General features: G+C 34.2%; 1 long non-coding RNA gene across 2 annotated transcripts in view; it reads right to left on the bottom strand.

The window, feature by feature from the left end:
• Positions 1-15267: 15267 nt before the first annotated feature.
• LOC102725220 (uncharacterized) overlaps positions 15268-19046 on the bottom strand; it is a 43302-nt gene continuing 39523 nt past the window's right edge. For both annotated transcript variants that reach the window (NR_188365.1, NR_188366.1), the window contains exon 2: positions 15268-15654. This is a non-coding gene — a long non-coding RNA (uncharacterized LOC102725220). The remainder of the gene's footprint in view (positions 15655-19046) is intronic.

Below are 19046 nucleotides of genomic sequence, written 5' to 3'. Positions count from 1 at the left end.
TTTCTTTTGCAAACCAACTATGAATCCTGTACAGTAAATCATATGATTCATAAGTGATTTTGGCTGTGACTGATTTCTTCTATAGAAACACAATTTTGGCTGAGGTTTTCTTCTTTTTGGCTGAATATTATATATTTCTTGTGTACCTATCATGTTCTGCACTGGAACTTGGAACTAGAGTGTACGTTCATTTTATGATTGTGTTTTCTACACTCCTGATTGCACTCCTAATAGAAGGTAAATTTAATTCATAGGTTTTAAACATCCCACCCTACTGTAACTCTAATACAAGATCAACCTATTTCAAGCCATTTTCTTGATCCTGTCTACTATAAAAATATTCTGGCCAGCAGAACTGTTGTGGGATTTGAGCTATGGCTTGTTGTAAGTTGACTAGTATGAATGTCAATCCAAAGGCCATTCACTGTAGCAGAGCAGCCCTTGGGACTCAGAGCACTTTGGATTCTTCCTCCAAAAGCATCTATAATGAACAGAGTTATTTTGAAAGTATTCCCTGCAGTTCATGTCTTAATTCACTCATCTGGGAATAGGAAAGCAGATCCCTCTCAATACACCACTAACTTGGATTTCTATGGTATTATGCACAATCCTCTCATTTATTTTTACAGTGATAGAGTGGTTTCTGAGCCAAGTTCTGCAGGCGTTTTGGGGAGAAGAAATTGGTTTTAGGTGGCTCCAAATTCTTTGACAATTGATATTTTTTGTTTTCTTGGTCTTCAGAAAGAAAAACACACATGGTGAGCTGCACACCTTAGAGCAGAAGGATGCAATTCTTGGCTTCTTGGCTCATTTTGGCAAAAATATACTTTTCTGATTTAAAAATATTTGTTTGTACCACTTTTCTTTAAATTTTGTTGTCTGTGTTCTGAGAATTGCTTTTTTGGCTTTTTCTTAACTTGCTTTATTACTTTGAATCAGAAAAGTAGAAAAGTAAAATTAAACTATATAGGAGAGGTAGATTATGAGACCTAGTTACATTAATCATGAAAATGGTATCTGTCATCTGCTTTAGCATTTGCTTAGCACATTCATAGAAGTGACTGCTTCTTATTAACATTCTTTTTTCCTAGAGGAGGTAATTTATTGAGAAGGGATTCTGATTGATGAATCTTCTGGTAATGCTCAGGTATACATGCAATAAATTATTATATGGAAATGAGGTCAGTAAACTCATGGTTGATTTTTGTTTAAGAAAATCCTTGTTATATAAACAAGAAACTCCAGTAATCTAGCACTTTGAAATTTACTCATAATCTTTCCCCAATTCCCCTCCTTTTTGTTTTGAATTATTAACTATGACCTCAGTATTTACTGTGCAGTGGAGATAAATTGATGATAAGGCACATTTTAGATCCAGCAAAATACTCATTGACTATATATTTATTAAAGAAAGTGAAAATGATGATAAGAAACAAGTCTGGAAACTTTTATGGATAAATATTAGTAAGCAAGAAAACTTTATTATGGGAAATTCCTTTCTTCATACATAATGACATCCCATTAAGTGATTTTAACTGGGACTACAATGACTTTACAATATTAGCTCCCACAAGTTATTTCCAATGTAGAAAACATCATAAATATTTCTATTCAGTATTGAGCTGAACTAGAACCATGTAAATATGTCTGCAGCATCCAGGAATAATGTAAAGAGTAGGAGGAAGTTTATTATTCTGCAGTAGAGTTGAAAACAGCAAGAATAAAGGTTAGCTTTGTTTCCTAGGAGTGATCAACTCTGGAGGAAATTTTACTCCTATAAAATTCTAGATTATTCTATATTTGTTTGGTATAGAAATCCCCAAACACTAGGTTTGAAGGAGATTCAAAATTAGTTAACAGTAGATATTCAAAGTAATGATGGTAATAATGACATAAGTAAAATTTTATTCCTTTAAGACAATGATATTTTTGCAGAATTAGTGGGCTCATCTGAGGCAGTCCTTACATAAAACAATAAACTTGTTGATGTAGTTAAATTGTATATAGGGGATTATATCCCAGAGGTTTTGACATAGTGATCATTATCAGAGTAATGGCCTCTTAGGAATCACAATTCACCTCTGCCAGTCTGTCCTAGAAACCCAGGATAATTGAATGAGAACTGAAAGCTATTATTACATTCTCCTGCCTCATCTACCAAAGTTCTGGCAGTTGTTTAGAAAACTGGATGTAGAAATGAATGAATGAAACTGTGGCTCTAAAATGAGAGAGTCTGAAAGAACACATGGATCTCTCCCTACTTCCAAAAATGATTAGCTTCTTGAGGCAGACCACCTGCATTGCTATGAACATAATTCATAATTTTCATTTCCAGTAGGTGCATGTGCCAACTTAACATTGAGTTAAAAGGTGTAAAATTCTGTTACACATAAATGACTCATCTAAATACAGGTGGTTCCCAACTTATGATGGTTTGACTTCATAAGTCAAATGTTTAGACTTTACAATGGGTTTATTGAGATGTAATCCCATCAAAATTGAGGGACATCTGGACTTACGATGATTTGATAGGATTTTTCAAATTTTTGATGGATTTATTCGGTATTAAATGTATTCTCAGCTTACAATATCTTCTATTTATGATGGGTTTATTGGGATATAACCCCATCATAAGTTGAGAAGCATCTGTGTTCTCCTACAGAATATAGCAAAAATAATATATATATATATATATATCTCCCTTGCAATCCAAAACCCTAAATATCAATAAGAGACTGAGTTACTCTAATAATTTTGGTTAGGTTGTGCCGGTGCCTGGGGGGAAAATGACTCAGAAAACACATTGAAGTATCATGTTTCTAGTTTCTATGAGATCTCTTTCTCTTTCTTTACCTGTTTTAATACCTCTTCCTAAACTTGGCAACAATCAAATTTTGAAAAGCACAGGTCATAGGAGGAATTCCTATGGAATTCTGTTCCCTTTCCTTATTCCTTAAACTTGTTGCAAGGGACCCTGATTGTTTGCCAGGTATACGTTAAATTTGGTTTATCAAGTGGTTTTAGCATGCAAAAAACATAAAATGAAATGAGAACCCAGAATTTCATAAAAATGGCACCAATAGAATTCTGCAAGAGAAAAATGTCACAGAGTGAGTTAGCAAAGTGAATAACACTTCTCATTCCGATGTCCAGAGACACTGTGGTTCTACCATTTGGGAAGGAGAAGCCCTTAATTGATGTTCAGTCATTCTTGGCTTGGCAGATCATAGGGAATCTCAATATGCTCAATACTGAATCTCAATACGCTCAAAATCTGGGTTTGGTGCTAATTCAAGATATAATCAATCTTTGGCTTGGGCCCATGTAAGAGGAAACCTAAACTGATACTTCATCTTTAAAGCCTTTTTCAAATTTTTAGTATGAGGGCTCAGATTGACACTGAATTGATCTCTGGAGGAGAGAAAAGAGAAATGTTTCTCTGGAAATCCTTTAGCATGGTCTGTCTATGAAAGGATTTGTGACTATTTGACCTGAAGTTTAAGTAACATTAGCATAACATTAAGTAATAGGCGCAACAGTTGCAAGCTGACTGCTTTATGAGTGTGATATTTATACAAGCCTCAGCCAAAGTCTTGAACATATTTTTTCATATGTTTTGGAGGCAAAAAATAAGGAATCAGTAAGTCTTAGTGACCCCAGAACCAAGAGTTGAGACAGTCAAACTGACAATGTTGAAATGTAATTTCAACAATCACAGTACTTGTAATAACTTGTGTTACCTTTTATGCTTTAGAAATATTTCAACTAAAGAAACACACAAAACAAAAAACAACTGTGGTACATCCAGACAATGGAATATTATTCAGTGCTAAAATGAAATGAGCTATCAAGCATGAAAAGACATGGAAGAAACTTAAAAGTATAGTATAGTATTAACAGAAAGAAGCCAATCTGAAAAGGCTGTATCACTGTAGGATTCCAACTATACGACATCCTGGAAAAGACAAAACTGTGGAGACAGTAAAAAGATTAATTGTTGCCAGGGGTTCGAGATGAATGGTGAAAGCACAAAGGACTTTTAGGGCAGTGAAACTATTCTGTACAACACTACAATGGTGGATCTATGTCATTATACATTTATCAATACCCATAGAATGCACAACACAAGAGTGAACCTTAATGTAAACTATGGCCTTTGGGTAATGCATCATTATCATCTGGATGTTTGGCTCATTGACTGTAAAAAATGTATGGTGCCCCATGTCAACAGCGAGAGTGATTGTAATTGTTTGGGGACAGAAAGTAAATGGAAACTGTGTACTTTCTGCTCAATTTTGCTGTAAACCTAAAACTGCTCTAAAAATAGTACACTAATTAAAAAATACTTAATCATTTAGTCTTAATTTTAATAATCCTATAAAGTAGTTAAAGCGTGTTATTTTTACTTTTAACAAATAGTGATTGAGTGCCTATTCTCTTCTCTAGGCGCTAGGATTGAGGTACCAAGATGTCCTTGCCCCATGGAACTTATACAGCTCTGTTGATTTAACTACTAAAGAATTTGATTTAAAACTCAAGTCCAGATCTTCACATTTCATACCACAGCTTCTTTGTGACTGAGCTGCACTGGGCAGAGCTGAGTATGAAGGATGTGAGACAAGATTATAGTTACGTGGTCAAGCAAAACATTCCCAGTTAAAAATCACCAAAAAAAAGACATCAAGCTATCATGTACTATACCTAGGCAAGGCGGAATCATGATGAGCTATGTAAATACCTCAAAATGTTGTCAAGTATGAAATATTGAAAATTTTTTTTAAAAAATGCTTTTTGATATGATGGTGCCTTAGACACACTTTTTTTTAATACATGATTGTTTTCATAACTACAGAAAAGAGTAATTTTTCAGAAGTGATTCTAGTATTTCCATGTCAGATTTGACCAACATGTGGTCATTTATAGCTTGGCTGTACGATGAATATTTTTTCTTTAGAAAATATGTCATTTTAAACAGACTGTCTGGAAGAACTTTAAAGGAAATGTGTTGATAGTTAACTCTATTGTAACAAACATTAGATGTATTTAAAATCCTTGTGTCAAAATCAGTCTAGATCTCATCAAGATTATTTTCTATTACAGAAATTCATTTCATCAACATCATTCCTTTATCATCAGGATATGCCCCTGCTTTGACTAAATTAATATTTTTCAAAACCACAATTTAATTATTTTTGAATCATCCATTAAACAACCCCACCTTAAAAATTGGAATTAAATCCAGATTAATTATAATAAAAAGAATCCTTGGCATTTCTCTGGGGCTCCACCCTAGGATTTTCCAGTTTTATCACATAAAAAATAAGCCAAATTTTGGTGCTTAATTAAGTAACACTGACTTCTAATGTTAGGTGGTAGAAAGAGCATGGCTTTGGAAGCAGATCTACTTGGGTTTGAATCCTAACTCTACATTTGTGTTGCCTTGAACAAATTGCTTAGTTTCTCTATACATTCTCTAATTTATCCATGAAATTATATAGTAAATACCTTCTGTGTCAGAAGATTATGTGATCCCATCAACATAAAGCGCCTGCCTTGGAAGAGAACATTCATCAAGATACAGTTCCTTACTTATTACCAAATAGAAGGAAGGATAGAGTTCATATTATTTTGATTTATTTTGACAATACAGAGGCATTTTTGTTAGTTTGTATTTTAGCTTCTCACTGTAATGATACTTTTATTATCTCATGCAGGACTTGCTTGGGGATCCCTGACTTTCTCAAAGTTCTTACAGGATACTCTTGGATTCATATGCTCAGTCTCTGAACTTTATTGGACTTGCATTTCTGTCTCCCAGAGACAATGATTCTCTATAAGAACTTCTAACCATCAGGGAGATAGAGGCAAGGGGGAGAAAAGAACCAAGAAAGTTTAAATGGCAGCCTCCTACCAGATTACTTTTTCTCTCTTTACTGATGTTAGTCATTATTGCTCTGTGATTTTATTTTCATTCCAACTTTTACTTATTGCCTACAATTTGCAGTTCAATAGCAGGATAATTAGTAGGTTGTGATTATTGTTCTTTTTCATAATCCTGCCTGATATGGTTTGGCTCCGTGTCCCCACCCAAATCTTGTCTTGAGTTGTACTCCCATAATTCCCACATGTTGTGGGAGGGACCAGATGTGAGATAATTGAATCATGGGGGCGATTCCTCCATACTGTTCTCTTGGTAGTGAATAAGTCTCACCAGATCTGATGGTTTTATCAGGGGTTTCCGCTTTTGCATCTTCTTCATTCTCTCTTTGCTTGCTGCCATCCATATAAGACGCAACTTGCTCCTCCTTGCCTTCCACCATGATTGTGAGGCTTCCCCAGCCACGTGGAACTGTAAGTCCAATTAAACCTCTTTCTTTTGTAAGTTGCCCAGTCTCGAGTTCGTATTTATCAGCAGCATGAAAACGGACTAATACACTGCCCTTCCAGCATCTTGCCAAAGGTGCTTATGATCTCACCATAACAACAGATATTTTACTACTTGACAAAACTCTTAGGTAGTTTTTTGATATTTTCTTCTATATTGCCATTAACTATCTATCTTCCCCTCCCTATAATGTGCTACATTGCACTAATCATTTAGCCTCGAATCAGGTATCTCTTTAACAGAATTTTGAGCTAAATAAAAATTCTACTTTTTCATATTAACCAGATTGTATAATACATGGACACATTTCAAATGTTTCGCAGATTTTTTCTATGCAATGGTTTAATTCTTGGTGAGACTTAGTTAGGCATTTCCTCACAAGTTTTTGTATCTGGTAACAAAAGAGGAAGAAAGAACATTCTAAAAATTGAACTCAAATTCTTGTTGGAGGGTTGAGCTACGACAGAAGACAATTTTTTAAATAAATAGGCATTAGATTTTGTGATTCATATTCATTTTTTCTTCAAATGAAACCAAAAATTGTTCTAGGAATTTAAAAAATTTACAGAAAACTACAACAGAGAAAGTGTAATATAATATTAATTCATTTTCCCACCAGTAAGAATGAACCATTGTTGACAATTTTGGTGCATTTGCTTTACATTTTCATTGGTTTTTAACAAAAAATAAATCATGGTATAGGTTTTATGAAATTGTTGTGTAACTCATACTACAAATTCAAATAGCACAGGAAATGTAAAATTTAAAGATTTTAAAAAATTCTACTACTTCTACCACCCAAAACCCAACATCATTAGCATTTTGTAAACAACATTACAGATATCTTTTTATTCACATAAATATAGAGAAGAAAGATAAAGAGATATAAATACTTTTATAAAAATTGGATTATGTTGTAGATGTTACTTTAAATAAAAGTTTATATATAATTTGAATCAATTAAACATAAGAAAATCAAACTGAATCTAAAGATAAATCTTAAAACTTCATGTATATGGATATATATACACCCACAGTACGTATATACATATTTATGTATAAACATGTATACAGATGTCTACAGTTATATCGTAATGTGTATATCTTCATCACAAGCAATATTCTTCCTAAAAGATTCTGCTAAAATACTTAAGGAAAATAGGTAAACAGAATAGAATATAAAGAAGTTGAAGTATTTGTGTTTTTCAAATTTTCTAACTATAGTATTTGGTTCAATTTCAGACAGTAGCAGTTGGTTCTCTTCAGTAAAAGAGTTGGTCATAAGCCAATATCATTGTGAAAAATCTATAGTTTTTCTTCGTTGTCAGGGCAATCAAGACCCATTTGTTGCAATAATCATACTTCTCCTAGTGTTTTAAAAATTAATTCCATATTTTAAATTACCATCAGGGCATCGTTATTCCTGAGTTCCTTATTTTGAGATTTGTTTTGAGTAGATATATTTGTCAAGTAGTTTTTTGAAAGGCTCATGGATTGTGTATTCTCCATCTTGTTTTATATTTTTACAGTGAGGTAATAACATAAATTCTAGATCATAAAAGCTTAAAAACAAATAATAAAGCATTAGAATAGCGTAGAAAGGAAATTCAAATATAAAATATTGAGGGTAAAAACAAAATGTTTTTGGAATTAAAATATAAATTTCAAAGAGCAACAAATTCAAGAGAATGATTGCCTACTTATTGCCTTCATACATAAACACCATTTAAGCTAAGTATAATATTCTTGTGTCAAACTTTCCCTCAGAATTTTATAGCTAGTGCTGTATTGTCTCCTAGCATAAAATATTGCTGTGGAAACATTTGAGGCCAACCTGATTTCTTTGCCTTGTAAATGATTTGCTTTAAAGCTTGGATGCTTGCAGAGCGTTTTCCTTATTCCATCTTATTCCTTATTCCATCTTAAAGTCTAAAACCTTAACACACACACACACACACACATATATATATATATATATATATATAAACACACACATATATACACATATAGATACACATACATACACATATATGCACATACACATACACATATATACACATACACATATATATACACACACATACGTGTGTATATACGCATATGTATACACATACGTGTGTATATACGCATATGTATACACATACGTGTGTATATACGCATATGTATACACATACGTGTGTATATATGTGTATATACACATGTATACAAACGTGTATATATACGCATATGTGTGTATATATATGTGTATATATACGTATATATAAAAATACATATATATGTATATACATATATGTATATATGTGTGTATATATATGTATATATGTGTATATATATGTGTATGTGTATATATGTGTATATATACACACATATGTATGCGTATATATGTGTATATATACACACATATGTATGCGTATATATGTGTATATATACACACATATGTATGCGTATATATGTGTATATATACACACATATGTATGCGTATATATGTGTATATATACACACATATGTATGCGTATATATGTGTATATATACACACATATGTATGCGTATATATGTGTATATATACACACATATGTATGCGTATATATGTGTATATATACACACATATGTATGCGTATATATGTGTATATATACACACATATGTATGCGTATATATGTGTATATATACACACATATGTATGCGTATATATGTGTATATATACACACATGTATGCGTATATATGTGTATATATACACACATGTATGTGTATATATGTGTATATATACACACATATGTATGTGTATATATGTGTATATATACACACATATGTATGTGTATATATGTGTATATATACACACATATGTATGTATGTGTATATATGTGTATATATACACACATATGTGTGTATGTGTATATATGTGTATATATACACACATATGTGTGTATGTGTATATATGTGTATATATACACACATATGTGTGTATGTGTATATATGTGTATATATACACACATGTGTGTATGTGTATATATGTGTATATATACACACATATGTGTGTATGTGTATATATGTGTATATATACACACATATGTGTGTATGTGTATATATGTGTATATATACACACATATGTATGTGTATATATGTGTATATATACACACATATGTATGTGTATATATGTGTATATATACACACATATGTATGTGTATATATGTGTATATATACACACATATGTATGTGTATATATGTGTATATATACACACATATGTATGTGTATATATGTGTATATATACACACATATGTATGTATATATGTGTATATATACACACATATGTATGTATATATATGTGTATATATACACACATATGTATGTATATATGTATATGTGTGTATATATACACACAAATAGCAGTATTGTAATTTCTGGAACACATTGCATTTATTTTTCCAATAGAAAATTCAATTTTTTATTTCAAAACTTTATTTATTAAATCAGTGAATACAAATTTTATTCCATTTATTGAACTTTTAACTTTGTGAATAATAATCCTTAACTGAATCATCTTTGCTTTTCTCTCTTACTAATTGCTTCCCAAATGCCATTACTTCTTTTTCCATGTGCATCTTCCATGATTATCTCAAGCTTTCCCTCTGTAACAATAATTAGCTTTATAGTGGTGACTATTGAATTCATTGCTCTTTGAAATTTATATTTTAATTCTAAAAACATTTTGTTTTTACCCTCAATATTTTACATTTGAATTTCCTTTCTATGGTATTCTAATGCTTTATTATTTGATTTTAAGCTTTTATGATCTTGAATTTATGTTATTATCACATTGTAAAAGTTTTTCTTCTGTTCTTCAGTTATAATTTCTTATAATCTGCATCCATGGCCTTTTAATATAATCCCTCTCTGTATTTCTTTAAGTTTCTCTGTTATTTCTTAGGATTTTGATTATGCTTGGGTGGCTTTGTCTATATATTCAATTTGCTGTTGTATAGAATGGGTGACTTCTTGACTCTATTCCAACATTATTGTATTCTCTAAACTATAGGCTATTATGGGAAAGAGGGAAAGCACAAGAGGAGAGGAAGAGAGGGAGGAAATGTTTAGTCTCTTTTAGAACACCTGGGCTCTGTTCTCTTTTCTGAAATGTTTGGAACTTTCAGGTGATTCCTCTTCTGGGAGCAGTAGTAGAATTCTTAATTCTGTAGGAGAAAGTCAAAACTATTTTTTAACTTTCTGTACATTTCATTACATTTCAGGAAGAGAAACAAGAGAAGGATACACATTTAATGTTTTTCTACCCAGGTTTGGAGTATTAATACAAATTCTCATGACTAACTTTCAACAATGTGAATTGTGGTAGGTAGTTGGGTTTAATTGCTGAGTCTTTATGCAGCATTTTCTGTTTCTTTTTTTTTTTTGGTAGTTGGATTTTAAAAATAATGCTGTGTATAACAAGACAGCTATTGTATATACCTTTGCCTTTGTGGTAGGTTATAGAAAGAGACAGACACAAATTCCTTCCATACATATAGGTGCATCCTTTTCCAATATGTCTTTGCACTCTTCCTATCAAGAAAATGACATCTATTACTCCACACCTTGAGTCTGACCTTTGCCAGTTGCTTTCTTTAGTCAATGGGATATTAGCAAATATGGTGCAAGCAGGGGCATGAAAAGCAGTTGAGCAGTGAAGTCTGTTCTTTCTTGATGTTCTTGGAATTCTATGGCCACTATCTGTAGAAGTCTAGACTGCTCTGTTAGAGGATGAGCAACATGTGGACCAGTTGCTCCAATATTCAGGATGATAGACTGCTAATTGCCAGACATATAAGTGAAAGGTCCTAGGCTATAGAGTCATCAGCAGACCAAATAGCTAAACACAAACTCATAAAAGAACCCAAGAGAGAGCAATCAAACTGGTCCAGATCAGAAGAATGACACAGGTGACCCACAGAATTTGGAGATAAGTAAATGGTTATTGTTTTAATGTTTTGAGGGGTTATTGTTTTAATGTCTTGAGGGGTTATTGTTATGCAGCAAAAACTAAGTGATCCAGTATCTTTTGTTGTTATTAGATTCAGGGAAGTACAAACTTCTAAAATGGAATTTTAGAAGAATTTTCCAATACTTACTTGTTTAAGGTCGTTAATTAGGACATATCTTGATATTAATTACAATATAAGTTTAACCAAAATTACTTGTTAGTTAACTAATACTTTGGAATCCACCAAGATAAATTCAGGGACTTCATACATTCAAAACATTGTTCTAGCTATATCTTTGTTTGTTTTTTTTTTTTGAATGAAAAAGTCCAGGAAATCAAATGGATATTTCTGGTTTATTTTTTTCTAACTAGGATAGTAATTTGTATAATCTTTAGTAATCTGTGCCTCCAATTTCATGTGGACAAAAAATACAGTTAATTGAATACAACTTCTCTATTGTTTATATTCTTATCTTTATTACCCTATTTTGAATTTTATTCAGAAAGGAATTAATCATACATCAAAAGAATTTATGATGAATTTATTTTGGCCTGTCAATATGAGAAATCTCAACACAAATCCTACAAAGGGGCCACAGAAAATAATGGCAAACAAATGCTCAGAAGCAAATAGTTATTGAATGCAGCGGAATGTCACGTTTGTTTTCAGCCTCAAGGGCTTAAGATCGTTTTAATGGGCTTTGTTGGAAAAGATCTGAAAGCTTTCAGGTCACACAGCCTGGAAGGTTGATAATTTTGGCTCTATTCCAGCCTGACCTATTAATCTGTAAGACAGCCTGGCTGCAGATACCGTTTTAGTGTTTGGTGTTGGCAGACAAGGTTAAAAGTCTAAGCTGGTATCTTCAATATTGATCTAAATGGCTCCAAACCCCTAAATTTGGCTAGTCGTGGATAAATTCTAGGCTCATTTTCATGTTTCAGCCCTACTACTCAGGTCAAAATTCATACTCTCTCTAGCTTGGAATTTGTACCAAATATTGGAAATAGAAATTTGACTTAGTGAAAAGAGACTCCATCTGAAGTCTTCAACTTATGATTTGGACTTGTCTCCACAACTTTAGATGGGCAACCTCTCATGAGTCTCTTAACAAAATTGAACCTCAATTTTCCTAACTGTAATGTGAGAATTATAGCACATTATTTCCCATGAGGGATTTTTGTGAATCAAATGAATCATTTTATGTAAGTACTTTGTAAACTGTAATGCTGTGTATAATAAGACAATTATTGTATATACAGAATCTCTGGAGAAATAATCTTTTGGTTTACTGGATAGCCTTTAATTTTCATCTTTGAATGATCCTTAGGCATTTGTCCCCTTTGTGATAGTTCCAAATTTATGCATCTCTAGCCAAGATGCATTTTCTGTATTTCAGAACTATTTATTCAGCTGATCACAGGTTATCTTTCTTCTTGGATACCACTGAGGCACCTCAAACTCAGCAAGTGAGAAGAGGAACTTGTCACTCTCTCTCTGAGATTGTTCCTCCTGTGTTTATTATATTGATTAATGACATCACCATATACCCAGCTTCCCAGGCCAGAAATCTTGGCATCATGCAAGGAGTAATCTTTTCCCCCTATTACTTACACGCCAATACAGGCATACTTCATTTTTCTGCACTTTGCTTTATTGCATTTTGCAGATACTGCACTTTTTATGAATTGAAGTTTTGTGGCAACCCTGGTGCAAGCAAATCTAGAGGTTCCCTTTCCCCAGTAGCATGTGCTCGCTTGTTTCTGTGTAACATTTTGGTAATACTTGTAATATTTCAAACATTTTCATGATTGTTATATCTGTCATAGTAATCTGTGACCAGTGGTCTTTGATATTACTTTTATAATTATTTTGGAGTCCCAAAAACTGTCCATATAGGATGACAAACTTAATCTATAAACTTTGTATGCTGACTCCTCCACCAACATGCTGTTCTCCATCTCTCTCCTTCTCCTCAGGCCTCTCTTTTCCCTGAAACACAGCAAATTGAAATTAAGCCGATAAATAAACCTACAATGGCCCCTAAATGTTCAAGTGAAAGGAAGAGTCACATATCTCTCATTTTTAGTCAAAAGCTAGAAATGATTAAACTTAGTGAGGAAGGCATTTCAAAAGCCAAGATAGGCCAAAGGCTAGGCCTCTTGTACCAAACAGTTAGCCAAGTTATGAATGCAAAGGGAAAGTTCTTGAAGGAAATAAAAGTACTAGTTTGATGAAGACATAAATGATAAGAAAGTGAAACAGCCCTGTTGCTGATGTAAAGAAAGTTTTAGTGGTCTGGATAGAAGATCAAACGAACCACAACATTCCCGTAAGCTAAAGCCTAATCCAGAGCAAGGCCCTAAGTCTCTTCAATTCTATTGGAGGCATAGAGAAGGAGTCTTCAGATGAAAAGTTGGAAGCTAGCACTGGTGGTTCATGAGATTTAAGGAGATAAGCCATTTCCATAACATAAAAGTGCAAGGTGAAGTGGCCAGTGCTGACGGAGAAGCTGCCAGAAGATCTAACTAAGATCATTAATGTAGGTGAACATACTAAAGAGCAGGTTTTCAATGTAGATGAAACAATCTTCTACTGAAAGAAGATGCCAGTTAGGACTTTCATTGCTAGAGAAGAGAAGCCAGTGCCTGACTTCAGGCTTCAAAGGACAGGCTGACTTTCTGTTAGGGCCTTATGTAGCTGGTGACTTTAAGTTGAAGCCAATGCTCATTTTCCATTCCAAAAATCCCAAGACCCTTATGAATTATGTTAAATATACTGTCCCTGTGCTCTATAAGTGAAGCAGAGCCTGGATGACAGCACTTTTATATTATTTTATTTTTTACAGCATAGCTTACTGATTTGTTTTTTTTTTTTTTTTTTTTTTGAGATGGAGTCTCACTCTGTCTCCCAGGCTGGAGTGCAGTGGCATGATCTCAGTTCACTGCAATTTCTACCTCCTGGGTTCAAGCAATTCTCCTACCTCAGCCTCCTGAGTAGCTGGGATTACAGGCACACACCACCACCCCCAACTAATTTTTGTAATTTTGTAGAGATGGGGTTTGGCCATGTTGGCCAGGCTGGTCTCGAACTCCTAACCTCAGGTGATCCACCCGCCTCGGCCTCCTAAAGTGCTGGGATTACAGGCATAAGCCACCATGCCTGGCCAGCTTACTGAATAGTTTAAGGCCAGTGTTGAGAACTACTACTCAGAAAAAAAAATTTCTTTCAAAATGTTACTGCTCATTGACAATGCGCCTAGCAATGCAAGAGCTCTGATAGAGATGTACAGGGAGATTAATGTTACTTTCATGACCACTAACCCAACATTCATTCTGCATCCCCTGGATAAAGGAGTAATTTTTACTTTCAAGTCTTATTATTTAAGAAATACATTTCAGAAGACTCTAACTGCCATAGATAGTGATTCCTCTGATGGATCTTGACAAGATAAATTAAAAACCTTCTGGAAAGGATTCACCAAACTAGATGATATTAAGAACAATTGTAATTAATTCATGGAAGGAGGTCAAGATATCATCATTAACAGGACTTTGGAAATAGTTGATTCCAACCCTCTTGGATGACTTGGAGGGGTTCAAGACTTCTGTGGAGGAAGTAATTGTAGCTGCTGTGGAAATGGCAGGGCTTGAGAAGATTGACTCCAATTTTAAAGAAATTCTACTGTGTGTAAAATGCTACCAAACAGCATTGCATCCTACAGACAAATTATTTATGAAAGGAAAAATTGATTGATGTGGCAAACTTTATTGTTGTCTTATTTTAAGAAATTGCCACAGCCACCCCAACCATCAACAAACACTACCCTGATCAGTCAGCAACCATCAACATTGAGGCAAGACCCTCCATCAGCAAAATGATTATAACTAATTGAAGGCTCAGATGATAGCATTTTTAGCAATAAAATATTTTTTAATTAAGGCATGTACTTTTAAAATACATAATGCTATTACACACTTAGACTATAGTATAGTGTAAACATAACTTTTATGTGCGCTGGGAAACCCAAAATTCATGTGATTCATTTTCTTGCAATATTTGCTTTACTGTGGTGTTCTAGAACTAAATCTGCAATGTTTCCAAGGTATGCCTGTAAGCACCGTTGAATTTGACCTTCTTGGTAGCATTCAGATCCATTCACATCTCTCCATCTGTCTTACCAAAATCCTGGTTTAGCTCTTCAATGTCTTATCTGGATTAACACTACAGTTTCTTCTGTCATCTTGCCTCTAGGCTTCCATTTCTTCTCTTATTTTTTTCACACTGTATGTAGAGATCCTGTAAAAATGCAAATTTAATCACATAACTTTCTTTAAATGCTCTGTGTCTCCTTTAGCCTATTACGTACAGTTTAATATGTGAGAGCCACAATAACTTGACCTTGGCTCATCTCTCCAGCCTTTTCTCTTACCTCCTTTCCCCTTGTACAGTGTATTCTACTCGGTTCTTGAACATACCATGAACTTTTTGCCAGTAATCTTGTGCATGCCTGGAATAACCATCTCCTAACAGTCTCATCTGAATAACTTGTTTCTCAGATCTCACATCCAGGTGACTTCACTAAGAAGCCACTCTTGACATACCTCCATTCCCAAATTCAGATTGGATTGGCAGCTCCATGAATTCACTTTGCATTTTATGTGTATCTCTATCATAACAATAAGTCACATTATATTGCAATTAGTTTTTCACTTGACCTGACTTAAAGGCAGAGGCTAGCATTATTCATCAGGTCATTAACTATCACTTCCTATCTACTTCTGATATGTCCTTCTTTTGCAGTGGTTCTGCTAATCTGCTAAGGAAGTAGCATAGTATGACACTTAATATTGCTGGATTTGGAGTCAGACACATAGGAATTTAAGCCCAACTTTTCTTTTCTTTTCTTTTTTTCTTAGATGGTGTCTTGCCCTTTCACCCATGCTGGAGTGCAGTAGCATGATCTTGGCTCACTGCAACCTCTGTCTCCTGGGTTCAAGCAATTCTCCTGCCTCAGCCTCCCAAGTAGCTGGGATTATTGGCACACACCGCCACACCTGGCTGTTTTGTGTGTGTGTGTATTTTTGGTAAAGATGGGGTTTTACCGTATTGACTAGGCTGGTCTTGAACTCCTAACTTCAAATGATCTGCCTGCCTCTGGCCTCCCAAATTGCTGGGATTACAGGCGTGAGCCACCACACTCGGTCAAAGCCCAAATTTTTAATCCCCTGTTTCCTCATCTGTAGAACATGAATGAAAATAATATGTTTCATACAATAAAGTGTTCGTCCAGTAAGAACTCAAAAACTATTATTATTTCTTATTTTAATTTTCTTCAGAAAAGAAACCTGAATATCATAGTCACTTCTATGAATTAAATACATGGGTTCTGAGGCATGGATTTTGAGACATCCTTACTGATGCTTCAACATACTGATTGATTACTTCCTGGTTCTTGGGTATTTAACATTGCCAGATTAACTGTACTCTGGATAAGTTAGGCTTTGTTAGATTCGAGAATTTTTGTTCAGATTGCATGACTAGTACACATCTAATTTCAGATTTTGGAACTCAAGTCTAAGCAAAACAAAGTAACACTAAGTAAAATAATAACAAAACTCAAACTTAAACGGCTTAAACCAATGAAACAAGAGTTTAGAGAGGGCATTGGAGATTTAAAACTTGATCATATTTTCCTATGTAAACATTTCCTCAGCATATGTACTTCTATCTGGGCACACAGTACAGCAGCCCCTCTAAGAACCAGAAATGAATGAATCAGCAGGCTAAAAGAGGCTAAATTTATGTCAAACTCACCTAAATGCTGCTAGTTCACCAACGCTTCTGTCTCCTTGTTGACCTGCTGTGGCTCTGATTCATTCATTTATTCATCCCACAATTATTAATTGAATACCAACTGTGTGCCAAGACAATGGTAAGCACAGGCTCATGACTGAGTGTTTGTGTTATATTCTGAGTTACACTTCACTGCTCATGATCGCATGCCTCCCCTAGAGTTCAGATTTCCACTGGTATAATTCATGGAGTAATGAACACCAAGGAAATCTTCAGTTCAGTGGCATGTTTTGCCTGCTTCTCCTTTGTTTATGAATTATCTTACAAACTCTCAGTCTACAGTAAAATTAGCTGTATCTCCCTTTGCATCCTGAATAGTCTTCCTGACAAATGTCACCTTTCAGCAATGGGACCATGAAGAGGCCTTGATTAGATCATTGCCATGGACACAGCTCTCTCCTGTGTTTTTATCTTGGAACCTAATTAGCCTCGCTAACCAGCATTGGCTAACCTTTACATCCATTTCTCTAAGACAGCATTTTGCAATAGAAATATAATGCAAACCATACATGTAATTTTAAATTTTATAGCAGCAAATTTTAAAAAAGTTAAAATTAATTTTAACAACAGATTTTGTTTAGCCAAATATATATAAACCATTATCATTTCATTATTTAATCAATATAAAAATTTTTCACTAAAATTTTTTTGGCTACATATAGTTTACAAAACCCAATGTATATTTCACACATATAGTACATATGGATTTGAAGTAGCCACATTTTAATTAATTAATTAATTTATTTATTTTTTGAGATGGAGTTTCACTCTTGTTGCCCAGGCTGGAGTGTAATGGCATGATCTTGGCTCACAGCAACCTCCGCCTCCTGGGTTCAACTGATTCTCCTGCCTCAGCCTCCCAAGTAGCTGGAATTACAGACATGCGCCGCCACACCTGGCTAATTTTGTATTTTTAGTAGAGACAGGGTTTCTCCATGTTGGTCAGGCTGGTCTTGAACTCCTGATCTCAGATGATCTGCCCGCCTTGGCCTCCCAAAGTGCTGGAATTACAGGCATGGGCCACCACTCCCGGCCTTAGTAGCCACATTTTAAGTGCTCAATATCCATGTGTGGCTGATGGATACCATATTACCATGTTGAAGAGGACAACTCTAAGGAGTATGTTTTCATCTGTTTAATCATCTATTTATCAAAACATTTTATCAAAGCTTTTCCTTGACCAGAGAGATGACAAGTTTACAATATAATTTAAAGCAGTTTAAGTATACAACGTAAGTCAAATTGTGTTATAAACTATTTTTAAAAGATTATATAGACCTATGCAAAGTCACAACTAATCTTAAAATTGATAGTGAAAACAACAGAAGTTTCAGTAATACAGAATAAGTTTATTCTATTTTTTTATAAAAATAAAAAGCCCAGGTCACAATAATGGCAATTTCTCCTCATACAAGGAATAACGACTGTAGCATTTGCAGGTGTAAAAAATTAGGCAGAAATGAAAATTATGCCCCCAAAATGTTTTCTTCTTGATTAACTTTTTTCTGTAGCTAGAGTACATTTTTATCATATAGTAGAGATCCCTTTCCTTTAGGCTATCTGCTATTGAGTATGGAATGTGCTTTTTAGATTCAGACTGAAGTCATTCAGTAAATTCAGGAAATATCTATGTAAACTAATGCCAGAGAAGTGGATCCCTGGACACTGGGGCTCTGTTAGAGCCATTTATAGGGGAAAATCTGCAGACCTAACTGAAGGGGTTCATTTAGCAGATGTACACCTGGCAAGCAGTGAGACAGGGAAGAAGAAAAAAGTAGTACATTGTGTGACAAAGGACAGATGTAGGGTGAGTTTGAGAGCTGAGAAAGCAATGG

Source organism: Homo sapiens, chromosome 4 (genome assembly GCF_000001405.40).
Source record: "Homo sapiens chromosome 4, GRCh38.p14 Primary Assembly".
Lineage (NCBI taxonomy): Eukaryota > Metazoa > Chordata > Mammalia > Primates > Hominidae > Homo > Homo sapiens.
Note: the sequence above shows the minus strand (reverse complement) of the source record. Positions and strands in the feature narration are given on the sequence as shown.